Source organism: Homo sapiens, chromosome 8 (assembly GCF_000001405.40).
Source record: "Homo sapiens chromosome 8, GRCh38.p14 Primary Assembly".
In the NCBI taxonomy this organism is placed as follows: domain Eukaryota; kingdom Metazoa; phylum Chordata; class Mammalia; order Primates; family Hominidae; genus Homo; species Homo sapiens.
Window position 1 is genome coordinate 102,278,006 of NC_000008.11, and position 26,463 is coordinate 102,304,468.

Below are 26,463 nucleotides of genomic sequence, written 5' to 3' on the forward strand. Positions count from 1 at the left end.
AATTAAATAAATAAATAAATAAATTCACTTCTTGCCTTGGAACTTCAGAGAACTTTTAAAGAAATCTTTATAATACTGGTGGTACTTAAGTCTCATATATTTTTAATATTTTCAGTACTGCATTCTCCTTTTTATCACTGAGATAATAAAAAATATTCTATTCAACTACATGTCTTCTAAACCTGCTTTTTAATGTTTTACTACTTTTTCAGTGGACAAACAGAAGAGTATAATTTTAGGCTCCCAAATCGGATCTATATATGAAAACTAGATCTACCACTTAACTAGTTGTGTGACACAGACATTCCCACGTGAAATTTACTTACTCTCTTCAAGACTCTATTTCTCACCCAAAAAATCAGGGTGATAATGCATTCTACCAAACATAGTTATAAAGATGGAGACCAATGCCCAGGAAACAGAATTAGTCAACAAATATTAGGTATCATTATTAATGCTATTTATCTACAGTCTTGATTAAAATTAGTTCAGCAAGTAAAAGTTGTAGCCAAAATTACACATGCTCATCTATATATTTTTATTATACATGAAAAATTCAAATTTTCAGCCACATACAGCAGTCAGCTCTGTGAAACAGACAAAGCACATATGGAGGCTGGTATTTTATGGATGAAGTGATCTGACAGCAAGTTAATGACAGTGTTGGAATTCTTCCTACATTATACCACAAGGCAGGAATTTCTGACACTTCATTTCAGAAAATATAATATTCTGAATTAACGCATTTCTAAAAATCTATATGCTGGGACAAGTTGTCCTTAATAAATGTTATATTGCAAAAAAACTTTTACTGTCTTACCTCTAGGCAGTTTCTATCCACTGTAACCTCCATTAAACATTTCCCACTACTGGCAGATGAAGAATAAAGACCCTGACTTGGACGGCCAAAAAGATCCTCCTTTCTAGCATTTGGCTGGAATTTTAACAGAAATATTCTAGTTACATTGAATACTTTAAAGAAAATAAACCCAATTAGAAAGAAACCTTAAGACTAACTTGTTTAATTCACCTGCAACAGATGTGGCTGATCAGCCAAGGGGATGGCTTCAGCCAGAGGCACTTCAAATGGATTTGGGGGTATACACCCAAGGAATGTCATGGAGTCTGAACGTCGGAAAAATGGATGGTTTTGGCCAGTTTCTGCAGGAAGAGAGTCATCATCCTTATCATTCAAAGTAGCACCTAAACATAAAAAGATAAAATGTTTTGTTTTTTAGGAAAATTATTTAATTACTGGATTAGGGTAACAGACCTTTAACCTGCTCAATCCAAAATTCCTACTACCTCTTTTATAAAATTTTAATGCCACACAAAAACAAGTTCATAGTCCAAAATTCTGGTATTTTTTAAAGTAAATGTAACAGTTTAATATGGTTACAATGTAAGTTTTATGTTATGTGCAAATTTTACGTTATGTGTATGTTACAATAAAAAATGCAAAATAAAAATCAGCATTTAATAATATTGTGCCATTTTGTATTGGACAAAGGTTTCCCATATCCTCCTCTTTATCTTTTGAGATACCCACCACCCAAATACAGTTAGATTCATGAGTATACTCAGGACCCAACTCACTGACAAATCCAAACAGAGGAGATGATCAGGAACTGAAACCTGAGCATTTGCTAAGCAGAGTAATGTCTGAGCAATTTACATATCTCAATAGTAAGTCAGCACACTAGCACCAAATCTCCTTAATGGAATAAAACTTTGGCAGTACCTTGTTTGCGTATAAACGGCAGTGAGCTATGGCTGGGTTCTCAAAAAACAGCAATTAGGCCAACTGTCTTTCCATAGGCTGAATAAAAGTACTAGTTGATAATAAGAAACTGGAGAATGCATTATTTAGTCCCATTTGAAATAACTGCAACCCACAAATAAACTCCACTAGACCCCAAAGTGTGATATTAAAACTTTTGGAGAAAAGTCTGGAGTTGGGATATTTTCTCTTTTCATTGTATTAATTGCTAGCGTTCTGATATTTGGGAGCTGTAACTGGTAATTCTCATTTTCTTGATTAAATCTATTTTGCATCAATATTAACAACGGTTTTGCTAAGATTTTATTAAATGTAATAAGAGTATATTAAGAGTAAAGGTAAACATAATACTAAGACAAATACAAGAAAAGATAGAAGAAAAAATATTGTTGGAAAGTTTATAACATTTCTTTAATACATCCTTAGTTGTGAAATGTATAACGCAAGAATGTGTAAGCAAAAATGGACAGAAAATGTAAGAAATGAGACATAGAGAAGAAAAGAGAAATTCCCACCCAGACAGAAAATAATGAAGTTAAAAAGCTTGAAGGGGAACTACTGAGGCAGCCATTTCTTGAAGTAGATTAGCAGATTTTCTGTGCACTAACTTTGATTGGTGTCATCATCATTTTCATGTTCTGAATCTTCATTATCAATACCCAGTTCCAAGAGTTCTCGCGTCCTTTAAAAAGACAAGTGAGTCATTTTACTTGAAGTATTTGTATAATATGAACAGGAGCAAAAGTCAGAGGAAATACAAGCAAAAACACACTAAAAAGGTCGCTAATGTATCTAACCAATTTCAAACATTTTCAGAATCTGGGAAATGGTAGAGTGAACAGGTTTAGGTACTATTATTACAAAATGGACTCAACAGAAGAAAAAGCAAATCACCTAAGAAATAACGAGCACCTACACAAACTCTAACAGAAAACATGGGCTGAGCATGGTAACTCATGCCTGTAATCCCAACACTTTGGGAGACTAAGGCAGGGGGATCACTTAGGCCAGGAGTTGAAGGCCAGCCTGGGGAACATCATGAGACACTGTCTCTCCAAAACATTAAGAAATTAGCCAGGCATGGTAGCACACGCCTGTAAGTCCTATATACTTAGAAGGCTAAGGCAGGAAGATTACTTGAGCCCGTGAATTCAAGGTTGCAGTGAGCTTTGATCGCACCATCACATTCCAGCCTGGGTGACAGAGTCAGACTCTGTCTCTTTAAAAAAAAAAAAAAAAAAGGAAAAAATAAAGATGATAATCAGGCCAGGCCAAACTATCTCAAGCATGAAGTTTAACCAGATTCTTAGGTTTCCTATTTTAAGTGAAGAGTGGCAATGGGGAAAGGTTGGATAAATTCAAGCCCACTTTCCTATATGAAATGGTCCTGTGCTAGTTCTCTTTTGCAATGCTATTCTCCTTACTCCAAATGTTGACAATGTACTAAAGAAGACCATACCAAGCAAGTATTTCTTAAATCAACCTCATGGCAAGAATGGATACCTTTTGCGTTCTAGTTGAGGTGTATCCAATGTTGTCTGCTGATTCATTGCCTTAATCCAGTATATAAGTGCTTGAAAAACATATGCCACATGCTTCAATGAGCAAACATCCAAAACTGGAAGAACATCAGAATGCTCATCATTATGAGACCGCATTAGAGACAGAGCATAATTTAGGAAGTCTCCTCGTGCAGACATCATTCCTTGACGGGCGCTAAGCAAGGTGGCACGTCTATAAGAACAGAAAGGAAAATGTTTATTAGAAGAATACAAATGTGAAATTCACTATCATAAATATGCAAAATTAGGAGCTGAGAATATTCATAAATACAAAGTAGTTAAGCCTGCTGCTCAGCTTTAGAAATATAACCACTGTGCATGATTTACAGCCTTATACTTTGTATAGAAAAGGAATTCCAGTATCCTTTGGAATGGCAAAATGAATTCTTTCCCTGAAGACAGTGATTCTCAAACTTCAGGGTCCATCAAAGTCACCTGGAGGGCTTATTAAAACAGACCTCTGGTCTAATCCCCAGAGTTTTAGTAGGTCTGGGGTAAAGCCCCAGGATTTGCATTTCTAAATAGCTCTTAGGTGAGGTTGATGGTGTTGTTCTAGGGACCATACTTTGAGAATCACTTCATTAAAATGACACCAAAAGCACAAGCAACTAAAGAAAACACAGATATCCTGGGCAACATGGTGAAACCCTGTCTCTACTAAAAATACAAAAATTAGCTGGGCATGGTGGCGGGTGCCTGTAATGCCAGCTAGCTGGGAGGCTGAGGCAGGAGAACTGCTTGAAACTGGGAGGTGGAGGCTGGAATGAGCCGAGATCACGCCACTGCACTCCGGCCTGGGCAACAGAGCGAGACCCTGTCTCAAAAAACAAACAAACAAACAAACAAACACCCAGATATACATTGGAATTTACGAAAATTAAAATTGTACTTTCAAGGATACCACCAAGAAAGTGAAAAGATATCCCAGAGAATGGGACAAAATCTTCCCAAATTATATACTTGATAATGGGCTTACATGCAGAATAAAGAACTCATACACCTCAATTTTAAAAGACAAACCAATTTAAAAAATGGGCAAGGTCAGGCGCAGTGGCTCACACCTGTAATCCCAGTACTTTGGGAGGCCAAGGTGGGTGGATCACCTGAGGTCAGGGTTCAAGACCAGCCTGGCCAACATGGCGAAACCCCGTCTCTACTAAAAATACAAAAAAATTAGCATTGTGGCGGGTGCCTCTAATCCCAGCTACTCAGGAGGCTGAGGCAGGAGAATCACTTGAGCCCGGGAGGCAGAGGTTGCAGTGACCCAAGATCACACCACTGCACTCCATCCTGGACAACAAGAGTGAAACTCTATTTAAAAAAAAAAAAAAAAAGATGGAGGGGGTGGTGGCGACGGGAGGATCCAAATAAGACATTTCTCCTAAGAAGATATACGAGTGGCCAGTTAGCCCATGAAAAGATGATCAACATCACTGACCATTAGGGAAATGCAAATCAAAGATACTAGGTCACACCCACTGGGATGGTTATAACAAAAGACAGATAATAAGTGCTGGTGAAGATGTAGAAAAACTAAAACTCTCATACACACACTGCTACTGAGACTGTCTTCCTTTTTGGAAAACAGTATTGCCAGTTCTTCAAAGAGTTACAAATAGAGTTACCATATGACCCAGCAATTCCATAACTAGGTATATATTCAAGAGAACTGAAAACACACATCTACACAAAAATCTATACACAAAAGTTCATATGAGCATTATGCATAATAGTGGAAAGGTGAAAACAACCCAAATGTCCAACTGATGAATGGATAAACAAAATATAGTACGCTCATACAATGAAATGTTACTAGGAAATGAAAAAGAATGAAGTACTGATGTATGCTAAATATAGATGAACCTGAAAATCATTATGCTAAATTAAAGAACCCAGTCACAAAAGACCACATACTGTATGATTCCATTTACAGGAAATATCCAGAATCTATTGAGAGGGAAAACAGATTAACAGTTGCTTAGGAAGGGGAAGGCGGGGGGGGGGGGGGGTGAGTAGGGGAAAATGAAGAATGACTGCTAATAGGTTTTCTGTAGAGAGGATTAAAATATTCCAAAATTCATTATGATGAAGGGCTGAAAAACTATGGAATTGGACACTTTAAATGGGTGAATTATATGTGATATGTGAATTATTATATTAAAGCTGACAGAGAGAAGGGAGAGAGAACACTGCCACCAATCAAGATCCGCTATCAGAATTCTGTGTTCTCTGGGGTAACAACTACAGCCTAACAAAGATAAGGCTTTCGTCTTTGTGAAGCAGCGTTCCTAGGACAGGAAAGCTGCTACCTCTCAAATCACTATCTTCAGTACAGCTATCTTTGCCAAGCATTCAATTCTGCACATTTGACATTTCTACCATTTTTTTTCCCCCAGTTCTCACATGTTCAAAAGCAAGTTTGTCCATTATACTACTCTTAGGTTTTTCTCTTTAATTTTCCTATTAGTTACTCAGGATCAAGGTTTAAATATAAATGATGCCCCTGCTACTTAATCCCTCAACAAGGCCCTAAATTCTGTTTTTTATTTCAATGCTTCTCTCCCCTCCTTTTGGTCTTCACTGCCCTACTTTAGTAACTATTACCTCTACTGTAGATGCCTATCACTGTCTTTCTAAGTAATCTCTTAGACCTTTGTCTTTCCTCACTTTATGATCTGCCCAGAGTAACAAAGTTGTTTATCCTGAGGTAGAGACAGAACCAAATCCTTGGATTTTGACTTCAGGTATGAGGCACTTTTACTATATTACTGCTATTGCTCTGATGTTCAATATTTGAGCTGATACCTACTCCTGAAAAAGGTCACTTTATAACTGAATAGAAAGAACATAACAAATACATAGATATATATTTTATTTTAATTCAACAGACTAGGGGAGGCAGAAAAAAAGAAATGTGATTTGAGAAAAAAAGAGCAGCACTGGTAATCACACATACTTTCCCCCTCCTGAGTACAAAGTACATTCATAACCAATTATAGTCAAAATAACTTCCTAAGAGGAGAGGGGGAGGTCTTGGGGATAATGAGACAAAGATATAGACCAATAACTTCAAAAATAAAAAGGCTTTAGTATCAGATTCCTACGATATGAATGGATTTTTAAAAACAGCTTGGATGATAACTAGCCTATTCTGCCTCAACAATTTAAGTAATGCAAGCAAGTCATTTCTTTCTCCCTTCACAGTAAGATGAGGTCTTACATAATAGCAACTAAAAAGCTTTAACCTTCTAGGATACAAAGATTCTATCTAAACATGCAAGTATAGATACTCCTTGACTGAAGATGTGGTTATGTCCTGATAAACTCATCATAAACGCATAAAGTCTAAACGCATTTAATACCCCCAATAAACCCATCACAAAGTCAAAAAAAAAATGTAAGTTGGGGGTCGGGCGCTGTGGCTCACGCCTGTAATCCCAGCACTTTGGGAGGCCAGGGTGGGCAGATCACAAGGTCAGGAGATCAAGACCACCATGGCTAACACAGTGAAACCCCGTCTCTACTAAGAAAACAAAAAATTAGCCGGGCGTGGGTGGCAAGTGCCTGTAGTCCCAGCTACTCGGGAGGCTGGGGCAGGAGAATGGCATGAACCCAGGAGGCGGAGCTTGCAGTGAGCCGAGACGGCACCACTGCACTCCAGCCTGGGTAAGAGTGTGAGACTCCGTCTCAAAAAAACAAACAAACAAACAAACAAAAAATTGTAAGTTGAGGATCCATTTTAAGTTGGGGACGTTCTGTATATATGAAGAATTTCATACCGTCTGCCTTCAAGTGTTCGTAAGCTAGCTTCTTCTCGCGCAGTCATCCTCTCTCTTCTCGCTGAATTCTGAGAAGCGTGAAGAGGATGATTTGGATGTCCAGGATCACCAGCAGATGCTAATGCAGAACCATAACGTAATTGAGCTTCAGTAGAATCCATAATACTGACCATCCAGTTCCAAGTGGGAATAAGCTTTTCTTCTACATAGTTCTATGAAGACCAAACTAAAATAGTTAAAACTATCCAAATAGAGCTAAATTCGATACAGCAGCAGTATGTCAATATGTAAACGTTTCTAACATTTAATTCCCCTAATACTGGAATTCTCATAATTGACAGCCAAAAAAAAATAGTGGAATGGGAAACTTTTCAGTGGTTTCATACCTGTAAGTTTACTGCATCTTGGTAAGTCAATTTCACAGCTGCTGGAATCTGAGAGTATACTAGGTGATTATACTTAGGAATAAGGCCCATCAAGTCCGAGATTTGTCTAATGACAATGCTGTAAGCCCTGGCTAAACTGCTTGCAGATGTTAGGTAACTGCTGGCGTTGCTAGCTTCCAAAGCAGCTGCTGCAGCTGCAGCACTTGTACTGATGGTACCACTCCGGCGTAAGTTTGAAGGATCAATATAAATCAAACCCGCTGAACTTGCTATAAGGAAAAAGGACAACCACAATGAGCTAATGTCAGTTGCTAATTGTGTTTCTCTGGGATTATATATACTTACGTAAATCTAAATGGTCAATTGTGGTACCCAAGCAAAAAACTTTGCCTAAACCACACTATTTTGGGGAGAGGAGTATGGAGGGGACAAGAATTAATATAAAGTTCTCAACCAGGGGAAATCTGACCCCCACGCCACCTCCCCCCGCCAAAGGGGCTACACATTTGGCAGTATCTACAGACATTCTTGGTTATCACAACTGTGGGAGCCAAGGGGAGGGGAAGAAGGGTGAGAGGGGTTTCACTGGCATCTAGTGGGTGTAGGCTAGGGATGCTGCCTAACATCCCACAATGCACAAGACAGCCTCCCACAATTACCCAGTCCAAAGATGCAATAATGCAAAGACTGGGAAACCCTGCTATAATCATATGTACATATTTTTTATATTTGAAACTCAACAAAACAATGAGGAACTATCATAAAACTAATTTTATCCCCAGATGAACATGCATAATTTAAAAAATCTATCTAAGTATTCTTAGCAATACTAAGTTTTCAGACTTGCCTGCTGGTGTAGATGTACTGGAAGGGGCTGTACTGGCTGCTCGCTGATGCTGGGTGTTGCGGACAGCCCACTGCATTGAACGGGGAGCTTGGGCAGCACCATTGGCATGGGAGCTATTTGTGGTTCTTTCTAATGGCTCATCAAGCATAAAGGTCTCCTGTTCTATGTCGTCACTCTGACTACTACTGCTATCAGAATCACTTGAGTCATTCGATTGAGAATCATCTTCAGAAAAGAAGGCAGGAACACTGCTTGCTCCTAAAATTTTTATTTTTAAAACCAAAAACATTGTGAGTTTAATAATTAAAATTACAATGTACCCCCTCATTCAGGAAAACATACATATTAAACAGAATGCCAGATTGTATTCAATAATCCACAAAACCTACCATAAAATAGTTTTTATTAGAAAATAACTTTCAAGCCCAGCTCTGTGGCTCAGGCAGGACTGCAGTGGCACCATGTCGGCTCACTGCAGCCTCTGCCTCCTGGGTTCAAGCTATTTGTATGCCTCAGCCTCCTGAATAAGTAACTTTTAGCTGGGTGTGGTGGCACATGCCTATAATCCCAACAACTGAGGAGGCTGAGGTGGGAGGACTGCTTGAGCTCAGGAGCTCAAGACCAGCCTGGGCAACACAGTAAGATCCCAACTCTTTAAAAAAAAAAATTAGCCCGATGTGGTGGCTTGCACCTAGTAGACCCAGCTACTCAGGGGGCTGAGGTAGGAGCTCAGGAGGTCAAGGCTGCAAAGAGCTCTGACTGCACCACTGGAATATCCAGCCTGGTGACAGAATGAGACCCAATTTAAAAAAAAAAAAAAAAAAAAAAAAGGCAAGAAAATAAAAATCTTTTAAAGAAACTTTAAAATTCATTCATTATTTAATGACCAGAAAAGCTGGAGAAAGAGTTATTAAAATAATACTTTCTTTTCTAATACCCAGAGAACAAGGATGAAGTTATAAAAATGCTTAGCTACCCTTGCGTATATCACACAAAGTATGACCCAATCCACGCTGAATACACACACACAGCCTTAGCATAAGCAAGAAAGTAGTTGGGATAAGGCAACATACCTGCTTCTGAACCAGCAGTTGCTGCAGTGACAACGCTTCTGCGCCCACTAGCATTATCTTGGTTGCTGTGGTTACTTTCACTATCACTTTCTGTTTCAGCTGCTGCTAACAAGTCCAGCTCCATATCACTCCCTAAAAAATACATTTAAATAAGAAAAAAGCACAAACTCACTATGGTTTAAAACAGGGTCTGATAAGCCAGAATATCGTAAGGGTGGGAACTAAGAAGGCATAGGGGGTAGGAGTTGGGGAGAAGGGGAATGGTGTGAAAGAGAAGGGATAACTACTAAAATAAGACTAAGTAACTACTCAACCTTAGAAGAATGGCTAGGGAAATTATGGTAGTCAACAGACTAGTACATCAGGGCAGTGCAGGGGAGGACTGAAAGTAAATATACAAGCTATTAGCATCTGGGTGTAATTATGGGTGATTTATTTTCCTTTTCTCTAATTTCCAAATGTTTCATAATGCGACTATGATTATTTTAGTTTTTAAAAGTCTTTTAAGAAACTGACTTAAAAAGAAAAAAGGGAAACTATTTTATATATGTATTATATATAGCGCCTAAATTTTCTAAATAGATGCTACAGAAACCCTTGGCAAAAAATAAGTTTGACCATTTCACTATACATTCAAATGAGGTTTCTCTCTGTATTTAATATCTCCCTTTAAAAGTACCTGATTTACTCATACTGAGTAATTTCTCAAATAACCTGCATACCGTCTTCATCATGCTCATCATGTTGTCCCTCTGCCTCAGCATTTTCTTCCCCGTGTTCTTCCTGTTCATCATGATGATCCTCTTCTCCAGCCACACCCTCCACCACCTCAACCTAAATCCAGAATCTTATTTGTAGACAATCAAAGCTAGTTAACTAAAATGCGAAGACCACTAACTATAGAGAATTTGAAATCATATATCAAGCAGTTTTGAAAATCTTCATTTGTTAGTGACAATTTGCTATCAAAAATTATATCCTGGCCGGGCACGGTGGCTCACACCTGTAATTCCAACACTCTGGGAGGCCGAGACGGAGATGGGCGGATCACAAGGTCAAGAGATCAAGACCATCCTGGCCAACATGGTGAGACCCCGACTCTACTAAAAATACAAAAATTAGCTGGGCATGGTGCGTGCCTGTAGTCTCAGCTACTCAGGAGGCGGAGGCAGGAGAATTGCTTGAACCCGGGAGGTGGGGGTTGTAGTGAGGCAAGATTGCACCACTGCATTCCAGCCTGGCAACAGAGCAAGACTCCATCTCAAAAAAATAAAAAAATTATACCCACAGATCCCAAAGTTCATTACTGAGCATATACAGAACCCTCAAGTTAGAAGTATAAAAATTATACTAGGGGCAGGGAGGAGAGAATTTACCTCATAAATATGTAGTATCCTCTTTCAAATACATTGTACAAAACTACTAAATTTTTCTAACATTACGAATATCTTGGCTGGGCGCGGTGGCTCACACCTGTAATCCCAGCACTTAGGGAGGTTGAGGCAGGTGGATCACGAGGTCAGGAGTTCGAGACCAGCCTGACCAACATAGTGAAACCCCGTCTCTACTAAAAAATACAAAAATTAGATGGGTGTGGTGGTGCGCGCCTGTAATCCCAGCTACTCAGGAGGCTGTGGCAGGAGAATCGCTTGAACCCGGGAGGCAGAGGTTGCAGTGAGCCGAGATCACGCCACTGCACTCCAGCTTGGGTGACAGAGCGAGACTCTGTCTCCAAAAAAAAAAAAAAAAACCCAGAATATCTTTGCTGTTAACACTGAGAATATCTCCACCCTTAATCCTTAAAGACAAGTTTGTGTCCAATTTCCTAATATCCAGTAAGTCACAAATTATTAAAATAATTTTACTATGTATAACCACAAATGAGAATATATAATAAACATCTACAAACTGGATGCAAACGCATATAGTAGTCTCAAGCTACTATTAATGTAATTTCTACTGACTACTCTTCTTTTCTCATAAAATAAAAGCTTTTTAAATCTACCACAATTAAAATCACCTCTTCCACATCTGCTGAAACAATATCATCCTGTTCTTCATCTCTGCCCCGAACGGGCTGTGACTGGCTGATGCGCCTCTGCTGTGGATTCCTGATGATGTAGGATGACTGAGACTGACTGGAGCTGTAAAGAATCAGAAGCTTATGAGTGGGCTCCTGCCACAGCTCAGATATGCAACACATATTTTTATTTAACTCATTTATTACATGTGAGACACTTGCTAGGATGTGACTTTAAATCTGAGCTGAGAATTCTTAGAAACCAACAATACTTAATCTATATATCAGAAAATATAAATCTCAGAATATGTTTTTTCTTTTTAAGTCATTTCAAATCTGTGTTGATGCACATTATTTGTATGAGTCCATCCCATCGAAAAATTCTACAGGAAGATTTTTCCTCCTCCACCAGCAGTTCTATTTCTAAAAACTCTGGTAGCACCATCTGTCCATTAACAGCAAGTGTTTAATAGAAGTGATCTAACTTTTAAGAGATCTGACATGATTTCTATTTTGAATGAGCTTATTAACTAATGACTTGCTGATGTGTGTGGGGAAAACATCAGTTCAAAAGCATGATTTTAAAGTAGTCATAACCAAAGGCAAAGTGGCAAAAGTTTCACTTCCCTAAACACCTGATTTGGAGACAACCAAGAAAAGACAGTTGACTGGATTATAAAACAAAAAGGGGGAACCAGAAAATACAGCTTAAAATACAGGCCAGAAATCTGAAACTGGTGGCTAAATAACCCTGTCACCTATTATTTATAGATTATGAAACGGGGTAAAAGATGTTGAAGTCAAAAGACCTTTAAGTGATTGCACTGACAGGTTCTTTCCTATCTCAGTTGCTATGAGAAATGAGAATCAAACCAATTAGACCTGAGAGTTGACTGAAACACCATGCCTTCAAACAAACAGATAAGTAGTCTCAATATGATGTTTAACACTAGAACTATAAGTAACTGGTAAAACAGAGATCGTGGATTACAAAAGTGGGAAAGGCTAAGAGAAAATCTGTAGAGATGAAAAAGGGTATTTCCAACCACTAAAGAGATTTCAATATTAAAACATAAAAGCACTGTGTGAAGCCACAACTAATGAGTATTTCTTTTTTAAAACAAACATCCTAGAACAAACATCCACAAGAACTATAGGCCCCTCAAAGTGGTTACTTTAAGAAGTTATGCAGTTAGTATGTATAATACTGCCAAAACAGACTAGGTATAGTGGCTAATGCCTGTAATCCCAATGTTTTGGGAGGCTGAGGTGGGAGGATTGCTTGAGGACAGGAATTTAAGACCGACCTGGGCAACACAGCGAGACCCAAACGCTACAAAAAATTTAAAAAGAGTAATTTAAAAATACCAATACATAAAACGTATTACAGTTGAACATCCCTTACCTGAAATGCTTGGGACCAGAAGTGTTTTGATCTTGGGTTTTTTTTTTTTTTTTTAAATTTTGGAGTATCTGCATTATATATATTTATCAGTTGAGCATCCTCAATCCCAAAATCCAAAATGCTCCAATGAGCATTTCCTCTGAGCATCATGTTGGTGCTCAGAAAGTTTCCGGTTTTGCAGCATTTCAGATTTCTCATTTTCAGATTAGGAATACTCAACCTGTGTAACTCCCCAGTTAGTGTGACTTCAACTTTTTTCCCAACAGACTTGCTGGCACAATGAAGCACAACAGTCCTGAAGCCTAGTCTAAAAAGCCCCGTTAATACACTACTAAGTTTTGGGGACTTCTAGTTCCAGCAATTTGGCAGACTGTGCAGAGAAACCACTCTTGTTAAGGAACACATATATATGCTAGATATTAAAAAAAAAAAAAAAAAAAAGGACAGCTGTGCAGGTGATAAAGAGAAACGACTGTACTGTATAAAGCTTGGAGAGACAAGTGCCACCATTTATCCCAAAGGGACCCACTGATGTCTCTTGGGCTAGAAGGGCTTCAAGGAACCACAGATTTCACATGAGAGTCTGGAGGCTAAGCAAAGAATAGAAAGTCATCACAGGAATCTCCTCTTCTGTCCCCCTCACATATATAAAGCTAAACATAAATCTTAAAAGGGCAACACCATGAAGGAGTGAAACAGAAAAATCATACCTCGAGAGATTTACCTATCTCAGCCATGAATAGATGCAGAATGGAAAAAGGTCTCTTTTGAGAACTTCTAACTACAAGTCTGCATTTTGGAGAGTTTTGGACTGCACTCTACACTATAAAGCCTGGTTCAGTGTTGGTTAACTGTGTGGTGGCTCAACACTATGAGCAAGCACCAAGTAGTCTTCCTCTCTACTCTGCCATCTACTATTCAGGAGAATACAAAAAAAAAAGGAAGTATCTGTCAAGGTAAGTCCAGCGTCTAAACTTTAATTAGCTGTGTTACACTGGAGAAGTTGCCTAACTTTTCTGAGCCGTAGTTTCCCCATTTGACAAACTAGAATGATAGTGGTTATCTATGACATATTGGGAAAATTAAAACAGGTAATCTGTCTACAATACTTAGGAAAGTTCCTAGTACATACTAAAATTTCAGTAACTGTTAGTTACTGTTATATGAGAGACATGGAAATAAAGTAGAAACAGATTATTTATTAAGAACATAACAAGAACATTTTCAAGAGGTGGAAAGAAGCAACAGAAAAAGCTACTCTTAAGACTTCACACTCAATGGGGTGATATACACCTTCTATAATCCAAGACAAGTGAAATCCCAGAGAATGGTCAAGGTCTGTGTTTTTCAACTTAAGACATCCTTGGAACACTAGTCAAAATACACCCTTTATGGGTAAGAATGTACTGTACTATAATAAAGAACTTTTAACAGTTGAAGAAAACATTAGCACTATTTCTTGATTATCACATGAGATCTCCTTCTGGGAAGATTTAGGAAGTTGTCTCAAGAAACAAGCAAAGGGAATGGAATAAAGAGAGTTTAAGAGTATGTAATACTTTAATAATGAGACTAAGAACAAGATGACACAAAATCTTGAAACTTAGTAGGAACAGTTTCAAGGGCAGTGTTTAGAGATGAGACGATCCCAAAATCTGTTCAACAGCCATCAATTTTTTATGTTCCAGAACAAGATCAAGGGAAGTATACTAAGAATTCACAAAGTAATACCACTTAAGTAACTAATGAGTTCCTCACAGGGTATCAAGATCAGGAAAATCATACAGAGTCCAAGCAGATCTCACAAGCAGAATTATTTAATCATGGGATAGATTTGACAAGTCTGAAGATACACAGCTTGATTTGTAACAGTTTTCAACAAGTCCTGGATGTATATCAGTATCAAGGATACTATGGGAGAGCTCTGTCAGACAAAACTGGATTTAGATTAAAGGGACACCTGACATTAAAGGAAAAATTGGGACACATATACTGGCATATAGGAGAATAGTGAGAGCAGATACTCAACACCAACCCAGATCAAATCCAAGCGTAACAACTTGGGAACTATCCCAAACACTAAAGCAGGCCATCCTTATTAACAGAGATGTTTTCCAGAAAAGGAGGAAAAGGGTCTTTAGATCCTAAAGGTCCTTATTAAAACATCATCACACATGCACATGGTTATAAAATCAGACTTGAAAAAACAAAATACACTAAATATTTGCCAAAGATCTACAGCATTATTACTGAAAAGTCTGACCCCTAAACCAGCAGAATTGGCATCACCTGAGAACTTGAAAGGCATACGAAGTTGGAGGCCCCACCTCAAGACCTCTAGAGTGGGCATCTATATTTTAATAAGAGCCCCAAGTCATTTTCATACATATTAAAGTTTGAGAAGCAGTGTGCTAAAGGACATCGGAAAGTTTTAAGTTGCTCAACATCCTGATTCAACAAGCTTACAGTGTAATTAGGGAAACTATCAAACAAATAGAAAAGATAAATGAAACTTAAGAACAAATAATCTTATAATTAGAAACATTTATAATGGAGTTATTTTAGCCCTGTCCTTGATAATACAGTTGTTGTAGAAAAATATTTAAAATTCCGGCTTTCTGGTTGTTATTTATGTTACACAAATGATCATGTACACCACCTGAGTGCTTATGCAAAGGTTTTAGGAAGTCAAACACGACATTTCCAGAGAAGGATTAATCAGAATCTGTTACCTGGTAGCAATTTACCTGCTAGACTGATCAGATGATGGTCGTGGTGGTAGTGGTTCCACTGAAAATAATTCTTCACTGCCCTGCATGGCATCTATGCTAGTACTAGCCAGGGTAAATGGTGCAGTTGGACGAGCAATCCCCATTCTGACAGGAACAATCAGTGACTCTGCTACGTTGCACAATTCTTCCACAGCGTAAGGTAGCAATGCTTGGAATACACGCTTGCATTTTCCAATTGGCTGTGGAATAAAGTTGCTAGAACAAAAAGAGAAATATCAGCAATCTATCTTTTCATATACATAAATCACTATCACAAAAACAGAGTGAAAATGGTATCTAAACCAAAATCAAAAAGGATGCCTTACTTTTTCTTTTTGGATGAAGCCATTTCCACACTCAGAATAACAAAAACTCTTGCCACTGAACGTAGAAACCTCATTGTCACAGCAATAGCTTCTTCTCTACGTCCAGGTGTATATTTGTTTTGGAGTTCTTTCACTAGTGTACCTAGTAGAGTATCTAAAAGCTTTAAAAAATTATATTCACTCTATTAATGTTAAGATACTTCATAAGATGTTTAGACATTCATAAAGTTATAAGTTCTAACATTTTTTAAGTATTAACATTTTATAATAAAATCTCAAAACAAATTTAACCAAAACATTTACAAGGTCAGTTTATGAAATATACCTGCCAATGTGCTTGACATACAGTGAGTCCTAAATGTACGATTTCTTATTTTTTGTCCCACAGTCCTTGGTATATCAACTAATATTTAGAAGAACAATACCAAATATATGAAATCAGAAGAAGAAAACATAAACTCAGTCTGGGGCACTTTCCAAAACAGCAAAGCAGACTCAAATATTTATATGAATAAATTCATAATCCCATCTCCCTCATGGAACCATTATTACTTTCTAGTCTCTTTTCTGTGTGCAGCTTCTTGTATAAATGTTAGCTACAGAGAACACCCAATTTTCACAGTTTGGTTGTTTGGTTTTTTTTTTTACGTTATTTACAATACGATTTATTTTTAAATTGCTGCATCATATTCCAGTAAGTGGTCAGGCTATAATTTGATTCAAGATTACACTAGTATTAGGCTGATATTTTTCTGTTTTTAAATTTTACATTATTCTGTGACATGCCTTTATTTTTCTCACATCGTAAATTATTTATTTATGACAGGTTCTGAGGGCACTGATAGTTTTATGTTTTCCAGAGAAAGGAACGATGCAATGCCACCCCATCCCTATCTGAGTGTGTTATTACCATAACCTCATTCGCACTGGATCTTAAGGTTTAAATTCTTTTCTAGTTTCACAGCAAAGAAGAGTACTTGAAAAACATACTTTTCATGTACTTGTAATACACATTCAAAGAACTTACCAAAATATCTGCTGTACACTTAACTATAAGGCAATGAGTGAAACAGTCCAGCCGAATTGTGCCACTTTGCTGATTGAGGTATACTTGCTCTTCTGGCAAAAGATGGCCTATTCTACTGCTGGCACTAAGACTTGAGGAGAAACGAAAGACAGAATGAACTGTAAAAGGTCTACACTAACGTAGGAAATACATAAATCTAAAAAGGTTTTAATGAATACGTACGGGTCTTTATTCTCCTGCGACCCAAACATAATCATAGATTTCAAGGCATTCCAGTCCTGTAGAACACGCTCCAATGCAAGCTGGGCAAATCTTGGAGGCTCTAAATCATGATCTGGCATATCTGAATCTAAAATGAAAAAGAAATAGTGACCAAAACAAAAATAAAACATATTGCTTCCCACAAGTGTCATAAATGTCTAATTAACTCACCTTCAGGACTGGCTGTTTTTCGGTTACGATCTTCCCTGATTCGAGGTGGCCTGTATTGACAATGCTCCACCGTCTGCCTTGCGACTGTCTGTACTAAGAATAGTAAGAGGTGCTCTCCCCTGCAAAACAGAATGTTGTCGTGAGGAGGGAGGCTGAAAAGCTACTCAGCTGTGCTGCGCTCTTTTGATTTAACTTACTGTATGTTCTAAAAATCCCACTTGCCTGCTGTTTGGCAGAGTAACCAGATTAGTAGCAGTGAGCAGGCGATAAAGTAGATCAAGACGAGCAGATTTCTGTCCAGCAATAAGAGTTTTACATTTACATTTCTCCCAACAATCACAGTAGGCTGTTGGTGATGTCCGTTTGAGTCTATAGAGAATTTATACACAAGTACAAAAACTGAAATTTTTTAAACATACAAAGGTTTATGTTGACATTATGAAGGTATAACTCACTGAAACCAGAGAGAGCCCTTGTTAATTTCTAAATGCAAAGTATAACTGTCAAAGCTTATATAACAAGAAGGATTACTTGGTAGTAATGACATCTATAAAGCAACACAGAATTCCTATGAGAAGAGGTACTCTAAGGTACAATCACTTTTGGAATCTCTTCCCTAATTCCCAGTCCTGTTCAAGTGGTCCTCCTATATGACCTAATGAACCCTGTAACCCTATGGGCAGATATTTCTTGCTTCTGATAGGGATGTGAACACTGTCAGGACTATTCACCACCACCCTGGCATCTAGTACACTTGGAAAACAATCAATAACAACAGATTATCACACCTTTAGGTACTTAAAATAAGGAAAACAAAAAATACCAACCAGAATTCTTTTAATATCTATTAAAATTTTTCATTTGTCCTATACAATTACTTAATGGTACGGTAGATGGTTTTTACAGTCCAATTCTCTATTATAACATTTGTAGCCATTTATACTGAAGTCCCTATCCATAATCCTAAAACACCACAGATGTTAGTGCTAGGTATTTCATTGCTTCTCAGGTCTCTGAAAACCAACAGAACTAGCTGTGGTAACTGTTGCTGAATGAAAGACTGTTGCATTTAGTTTAAGACACAGTCTAAACATTCACCATGATTCCCTCTAGGCCTATGGCAATTTTCTCCTAGTATACCCCACTACAGGGGACCTGAGACCTCCGCTGCATAATACACTCAGGAACATTCTGTAGATATACTTCTCAAAAGACTAATCTGATCCTAGTTACAATGTATAATCACCTACTTTTATTTAAGGAGGGCAATGTTTGAACTAGCAAAGAAACCAAACATTTCACAGTATACTTTAAATCAAGAATCACACTATTATACATAAACTGACTTAAACAAGGGAAACGTAAGTAACCTCATGCTTTCTGAAGTAAAACATGACTTAGTACAGATTATTTCCATACAGCAATATAAATCTAAACAGCTTATAATATTAAACTAAAGAAAACTAGAATTGTACTCACTTGCAATCATGACCTTTATGACAAACCCTTGCACATTCCGTACAACAACACAGTGACTCCAGCAAGCCACAAGTTCGACACTCAAAAATATCCTAAAATTAAGAGTGTACTTTTAAAGGAATAATTATAAGTATGCATATATCTCATCATAATAATTATTTCTGGTATTTTCTAGAACAATTCAATCTCAACAAACAAAATTAATGTGCTTTGGAAAACTAGAACTTATAAAGGGCTACAGCAAATATACAGTTTATGATATACAAATAGAAATATTACCAGTAGAAAAAAATAATTTGTATCATCCCCAAAAAGGCATTGTAGTTATAAAATCTGTATCAAGATTTGTGGATCAGATTATACTACCCAGTGAAAATTTCCAATTTTCATGGTATGCCATATTTAACTGAGCAATCAGCTCTTTTGCCTCATTTACTTAGGAATTAAATCAACTTTCTTCATATCAGACTTAATTCCAAAGCTGAAAACTGTAAGTCTAGTGATAGTCATAGCGAAAAAAGACACAAAGATATGATTAATACAGGAAAATGTAGAAATAACTTACCTGGTTAATGTGCTCTGCTCCAGTCCATGTAAAACTGCAAGTGTCATTACAACATAAAACATATAAAGGAGAGTCATCAGGGTTGGTACCTGATGGGCAAACCATTCCCATGAATACATCTTCCTCTTTTTCACTTGAGGATATTTCAGCTAAAAAAGTAAGAACATAGCAGTTCATCTTTCAGGAAAGGACTTAATTAGCCATCCATTTTCTTCAACTGGAAAGCCTTAGCATACACACAATATAAACCAGAAATTATATATCAATTTTAAAAAGTGATATACAAAGATGACATGCAAAGAAATCTAACCAACTCTGGAACAATATAAAGTAAAGCATAATTACATCATACCCACATATGATGCCAATACAAACACACTATACATCAGCCATCTGAATCCTTAGCTCTGTTTCAGGCAGTTAAGACTCAACTCCTGGCTCTATTTAGCAAATTATAGACCATCTCATAAACTATTTATCAGTGTTTTAAAAAGATAACTACTTTAATCTTTCAAAGGCTGGAAGGTAAGAATTGATATTCCTTAATGCTTTCTATTTAGCAGGAATTCTGTCAGAAATAACAAGACATCTGTCTATTATTCTGTAAAGTTATATCACTTAACACCAATTAACTACCAAGAGGTTCTATCAGTAATCCATCTTATTTTCCAAAGATTTTACACTGTTCATTACGGAGTGTTTATTCTTAAATCAATAAATTTATATCAGCTGTTTTTTGATGGAAAGTTGGAAGATACAGTAAACTTGAAGGAATAATAAACACATGAATTTCATACACACACAAATCTTGATCATTTCCAACCAATTGTATCATTTACATATATAGAAATCCAGTCTGAATAATTATAATATATGGACAGAAGAGAATCTATCCAAACTGAATGTAACTCATTTAGGATCTGAAATAAATTACCTTTTGCAATTTTCTGAGCAGTTTCTAAGATGGTAATTGCAGCAGGATAAGCTCGGCCACTTACAGCTGACATAAATGGGGTCATCCCTCTTGCATCCCTAAAATAAGAAAAATTATATGTAAAAATATTAATTACTACTTATTTTCCTTCCTGATTATAAATGTTCATGATAAAACAAAAAACTAAATTTTGTTTTAGTCTTTCACATATAAATATACACCTCAATCAAACTAACATAAAAGCTAGTTTGTATTCATTTAGTGTACACTACATGATGTTGAGACAGCCTCTTTCACTCAACAGAGCTTAGCAGTAGAGGGAATATCATGCTGGATTCTGATAAATTGTTTTAAATTTACATAACTATTGTCCATATAGTGTAAGAAGATAAACTTTAATAGTAAAAGCTAAGCTAAGCTAAATCTTCACATGAAAAATATATCAAATCCTCTTACTTGGCAGAAAGAAGTTCTCGTAGATAGGGCTGGAGAACCACACTGTCACATAACAATTTCAATATAAAATGAGCATTCGCCTTTCGATCCTTGGATTCTACTACAGATGGCTCTGTGGAAGGACCTGTAATTAAGCAGATTCATTTGGTACAAAACAACAATGAAGAAGACACAGTAAAAGAATATTCTGGGCTACCCTGCCTATGGGGCACATAAGCACATAGACAATAGGGTACACTGCCTATGGGGTATCTAGCCCTGCTCTGCAAGGAGCAGTTACAATTTTTTTTTAAAAGAATATTCTGGAATAATATATCAGGCATAAGCTACCAGAACAATATTCTAGTATCAGTAATAAATTAACTTCATCACAAATAATTTAAACCTATGAACACCATTTTACAAATCTCATCTGATTTCTAAATGTATGTACACAGACACCACATATTTGCACTGACAGATGGAATGTAATTCAGAGAATTAGATGTTTTTCAAGCAAAGAACAGTCTCCTTGAGATAAAGTGTAGATCTGTAGAACCCTATATCCAAAGTGTGTCCTTTTTTCTTCCAGATGACTAGGCAGACAAAGAGTACAGATTCTTACCTGGAATAGTGGAGGTGCTTGGTCCTTGACCAGTACCGGTTGCTGCTGTGGTAAGAGATCCCACAGCGGGGGCCAGGATAAAATCAATGTCACCATCTTTCAGTAAACAGAACAGTAGGATGTATATCATTATAGGCAACATATTCCTAACATGTTCTCTTAACTGGCCTTAAGGCTTTTCTCTGCAAGCCAAAGGTCAAATTGGATAGAGTTTAAGTGAAACTTCTTTTCCAAACTACAAGAGAAGGAATCCACTAGGCAAATCTATTGACTTATCTTGATATATTACTAATAAAGGGATTATTCTTACTGGTATAGAAATAAATATTTCAGTAAAAGTGGAATACCTGACAAGAGTTCTGGAATTTTAATTTTTAAAATATAAATCCCTTAAATCTAATTTTTATAGCTAAACTAGTTATAATATTCATCATACTACTTTCAAATATTTCAAATTTCTAAATATCCCTTTAAAATGTTAAAATTATTTCCTTTCATGACCTGCTCTTTTTGTTAAACACTAAATGAAATTAAATAACAGCTCTTACCAGGATCCATCGCAGGAGGGTCAGGAACCCAACTAGGGGGAGCTATGGGGGGTGAAACTGGATCCTGGTGGTCACTGGATGAAGCTCCAGCTTCATGTCTACCCAAACCAGCTGCTCTCAACGAACGTCTCATCATTTCCCGTAATCTCAAACTAAAAGAACATGAACAAAATCAGAGCTCACTACCATATCTACACATAATGAAACGGTGTACAGAACTTCTCATCTGAGAAGATGAAAGTATGTCCTACAAGCAAGCACTCCAGGCAAGGGAAGTGAAGTACAAATGCCAATTCTGGAATCACAGAATAAGTCAGTGAGGGATAGAAATAAAACTGGGGGCTCCTAGTACACCGTTCAGCACTAAAATCACTATATTAAGCTCCCACACAAACTTAAGCACAGGGAACGAAAGCTGCGGTGAAGTAAGATTAGAAATAATCTTTCATACAGTTCAGATAAAAGAACAGCTAAACATTAAAACAAAAAGTTTCTATCCCCCGTTTATAATCGGTAATAATTAAGTTTAATAGTAGACATCAGCAATCATACTGATTAGCACAAAACCAGTATTGTTCAACACTAAATCCCTTTTATAATCTCAAAAGCATCTGAACTAATATCCACACAATGATTAGTTTTAAAACAAAGACCAATTTAGATTTTTACACACAAAAAAATTTTTAACAGTACAACTTGCATCCCAAAGAAATTAATGAATGAAACTAGAGTTTATAAAATGTGTTGTTAATGTATGGGCATGGTTTTTTTCCTCCTGCTATAAAAAAAAAATACTATACAGGTGTACACATCACTAAAAAGAAAAAGAAATAATCACAAACACAGAACTCGTTAGGGGAAATGGGAACTATCTGTATGAAAATCTATACTTTACCTTTGAATAAAACCTTACAACGGCTACAAAATTAATACATTTAGAACTAACAATGATTTAAGAGAGCACAAAAGGCAAATCCCTTCACTCAGCCACAATTTTAGAGCTTGTAAATGGATAAAGAGTAAAAATTTCATTTTGAGGGCCAGAAAACGCATAAGGGACTTCATTCTCCCATGTAGAATTAATCTCAGACATGACATTCTCATGTGAAAGACCTAACACCTTACTAGATACGCATAATACATCTAGAAATAATTTCAAGTTTTATTAATGTTTAAATCTCTAATTGCAATTATTATTTAATTGAGGATAAATGTGTTTTTCCATGTCAATACATTTTTAATTTTATAAGGAACCTTTTTTAAAAAGTCATTCACAAAAATTACTTTTAGAGGCTATGTTCAAGAGCATATCTATTTTATAAGATTTATGATGTATTTTTTGGAATAAAAACACTCTAGAAGATTCTGCAATGTAAATGTTACTGTCTCAAATAATATATTTGCCATTATAGTATTCACTATTAAAAAATAACTATAGTTAATTATTTTATAGTATCAATGTCTTCTTTTTCCAATTTAGAAATTTGAGTTTAAGAGTTTTTATAATGTGGATGGGAGCATGGCACAGTGACTGTTTCAGTCCAGATCACTTCCCTGTCCAAAGATATCACCCAGAGGAAAAGGAAGACTCCTTACCAGTAACAGCACACACCATGGTGACTGTTCACACTGTGATGCTCCTATACAATCTTAATTAAGCTCAACAGACACCTGGTATCCTACCTAATGTGTCTTACTCAAAGCACAAAGAAAAAAAAAATCAGCAATAATTGGGAGACACTGCAAATAACCTGAAAATAAATGCATGTTTTGGCCTTTTTAAGAATGCTTACACCAGAGTCACAAACTCAATGGCTAATGGGTCAGAAAGGTAAAATAAGGGCAGTCAGGTGTAAGAAATGGGGGTAGTGACAAGCTAGAGGCACACATGCTTATCTGAAGGCATTCAAATTAAAGGAAAAAAAAATTTTAACATTGCGCAGGCCAAACAAAAAACATTATGTGGGCTATTCTCCAACTTCTAGCTTAAAGCAGATTAAGAATAAATGAAGATAAATTGAGACCATAGTCTCATCTTGAACTTGCAAACTCCCAACTTTGTTGCTGTGATGTAGTCAATTCAATATTAAATGAGGGGGCCATTCCTTGTCATTTTTAAAATTGTCCTTAACCTCTTTTCTTCATTAGGTCTTGGGAACATTTTTAAGTACAATGCCCAGCTCCTCATATAGATTCTTAAAAAACAAAAAACAAAAAACAAAAAAAGAAAATTATTCTTCAAGATGTTGTACACAATTCATGAAGATTCACCTGTATCCTCAGTGGCTGAGGACAATACTGAGGAGATACCACCTTGGCTGCTAAGATTCAGAGTTTTGACATTTCTTCGTAAAGGCTTGCCTGGAGTCATCGTATTTTCTGACAATATGGAAGAATTCAAGGATGATGTAATTTCCTCTTTGTAAGCACGTTATATCCATGCTACAGAAGCCTTAGAATCCAGTCATGTTCAAACATAACACTGTGACAAAAAAGCGAAGGTCATGTGTCTTCCAGATTAACAATCTCTAGAGTATATACACCTGCAATCAGATGCATCAATCAAGCTTTCCACTAAATCTGCCCTTTGTACTCAGGAACTATTGAGTTCACATAATAAAACTTCTGAGTCAAATCATCATCTGAAGGCATTTAACAGTATTCCATTCAATATTGAAATTGCATCAGTTTTGAGCTTACAGCTCATGAATCCCAGCCTGCATACTCATCAAGGGGCATCGCCTAGAAAATCCATTGGAGGCTAGAGGAGGGTTTCACTTCAATGAAGCAGTCTGTGGACTTCCTACTGCCCGGCGTGGATAATAAGACTCCTGTGCTTTCATCTGTTCAACCGGCAGCCCTGAGTTTGAACTGGTTAAGAGCACTGCAGTGAAATCTTCGGCAAATTCCTCAAAGGAGCTTACTCTGCAAATTATTTCTGTGAGCAACACATCACCCACTCTTGAAGCTCCTTTTAGTCTTTGCCTTCAAAATAATCCTGACATGAAAAAAAGATGGCAGCACTGGCATTGGACCAACCATATCAGAGTCCAACTTGATTTGCACCTGTAATTTCCCTGAGGAAATGAAATACCTGAAATAATTCAGACACTAATTTCTTCATGAAGAATTTAAGTTGCTTCCCACTTTAGACCAAACACTTTGTCTGCCTAGCATAGTCCTGAATAAATAAACTGGTGATAATTTCCATTTTGTTTAGTCTACGTAAAGTTTTTGCACTGTTTTAAATTGTAATTTGGTCACCCATGAATACTTTTTGATAAATCTCACTTCAGGATGTTTTTGAACCTGGTAAAGTATCAACTTGGATCAACTTGGTAGCCTTCCTGTTGCCAATTTAAGAATACACATTTTTAAAGGAATAGTTAACTATGGAACAGAAAATAGGCAAGGAGAATCTTCATTTTAAGTAGACTTTGCAACCTGCCACATTAGCACATAGTGAGCAGTGCTTCCATTAATGATCTTGTCAAGCAGACAATAAATTTTTTTCCTACAGAAAGAAAACTATATCCTGAATTCTTCATATTCATTATCTAGTCAAATACCTAGCAATTTTTAATGTGTTATAAAAGTTTGTCCATCCCAAAACTCAGCCTGAAAATTTAAACATCAGACATCCATAATACACATCACCCTTTCATTTTTTTCCCAGATCAAGATATCTGAGAAACTGACCTAAATAAGCAATCTGAAAAGATTAAGGTTCCTTCAATTATTATACTACTTGTTCTCCAAATAACACACTAACTTCCTAGGAAGCAAGAATGATGAATTTAGAACAAATTGAAAGAAACAAATTTAAACTACTTGTCTAAATTATTTCAAATTTATTAAGTGTCCCAGCTCTACCTTAAACTCTAATTTGTTATCAGATTATTTTTCCCAGGGTGTTATTGGGAGGAACAAAAATGAAACAAAAAAGGACCCACCAATTCATGTACACGACAGGTAAGAGATATACTGCTTTCTGTACTTGGTTTTTTCCTCCAATTAAAGTTTCCTGGTAAAAATCACATTACCTTCGGCTACTTGATGATCCAGCCCGATTACCTGGGCCATTACTTGAAACAACTGATATTGCATTTGCAATGGCCTCAACAGCAGAAAGCCTTTCTGCAAATGTATTTCTTTCAGAACGCTCCGCTTCTGAAAAATGAGAAAAAATTAAGATCAATTTAAGTTTTAGAACTAATACACTGAGTATGTATAGTCCACTAAACACTAATCTCTATATATTTAGTATTCTAATTCACATACTAGATAACCAATTGTTCAATTTTTCCTCCTTAGAGCAACTAACACTTCAGACAGACTGAACTATCTGATCTTTCACATGTGATTTATTTCCTTATTCCGCCTTCCTTCTCAATCCACGAAGGGCAAAAATAAGGTCATTAATAAGAAGACTGAAATTTAGCTTTCACTTATTAAAATAGAAAAAGACC

General features: G+C 36.7%; 1 protein-coding gene across 8 annotated transcripts in view, besides 2 other annotated features; it reads right to left on the minus strand.

The window, feature by feature from the left end:
- The window catches only part of UBR5 (ubiquitin protein ligase E3 component n-recognin 5), a 160,428-nt gene that overhangs the window by 25,733 nt on the left and 108,232 nt on the right, over positions 1–26,463 (minus strand). For 7 of the 8 annotated variants that reach the window (NM_001282873.2, NM_015902.6, XM_047421849.1 and 4 more), the window contains 23 exons: positions 26,038–26,164; positions 21,995–22,146; positions 21,447–21,542; positions 20,843–20,966; positions 20,387–20,484; positions 19,453–19,601; positions 18,888–18,979; positions 17,631–17,777; positions 17,409–17,527; positions 17,199–17,325; positions 16,977–17,106; positions 15,950–16,110; positions 15,600–15,839; positions 11,448–11,571; positions 10,150–10,261; positions 9,428–9,559; positions 8,355–8,612; positions 7,508–7,776; positions 7,122–7,333; positions 3,284–3,514; positions 2,389–2,462; positions 1,031–1,203; positions 821–934 (listed from right to left, as the gene is read on the minus strand). In NM_001282873.2, the coding sequence (NP_001269802.1) occupies positions 821–934; positions 1,031–1,203; positions 2,389–2,462; positions 3,284–3,514; positions 7,122–7,333; positions 7,508–7,776; positions 8,355–8,612; positions 9,428–9,559; positions 10,150–10,261; positions 11,448–11,571; positions 15,600–15,839; positions 15,950–16,110; positions 16,977–17,106; positions 17,199–17,325; positions 17,409–17,527; positions 17,631–17,777; positions 18,888–18,979; positions 19,453–19,601; positions 20,387–20,484; positions 20,843–20,966; positions 21,447–21,542; positions 21,995–22,146; positions 26,038–26,164 (3,461 nt within the window). Of the gene's footprint in view, positions 1–820; positions 935–1,030; positions 1,204–2,388; positions 2,463–3,283; positions 3,515–7,121; positions 7,334–7,507; positions 7,777–8,354; positions 8,613–9,427; positions 9,560–10,149; positions 10,262–11,447; positions 11,572–15,599; positions 15,840–15,949; positions 16,111–16,976; positions 17,107–17,198; positions 17,326–17,408; positions 17,528–17,630; positions 17,778–18,887; positions 18,980–19,452; positions 19,602–20,386; positions 20,485–20,842; positions 20,967–21,446; positions 21,543–21,994; positions 22,147–24,265; positions 24,436–26,037; positions 26,165–26,463 lie in introns of those variants that run through there. The other variant, XM_005250962.6, reaches the window with a different exon arrangement.
- Positions 12,155–12,204: an enhancer, noted in NCBI's record as "active region_27749". NCBI's record gives its function as "activates an Ori minimal core promoter by ATAC-STARR-seq in GM12878 lymphoblastoid cells {active_cell/tissue: GM12878}" and the evidence as "EXISTENCE:reporter gene assay evidence [ECO:0000049][PMID:35858748]".
- Positions 12,355–12,404: an enhancer, noted in NCBI's record as "active region_27750". NCBI's record gives its function as "activates an Ori minimal core promoter by ATAC-STARR-seq in GM12878 lymphoblastoid cells {active_cell/tissue: GM12878}" and the evidence as "EXISTENCE:reporter gene assay evidence [ECO:0000049][PMID:35858748]".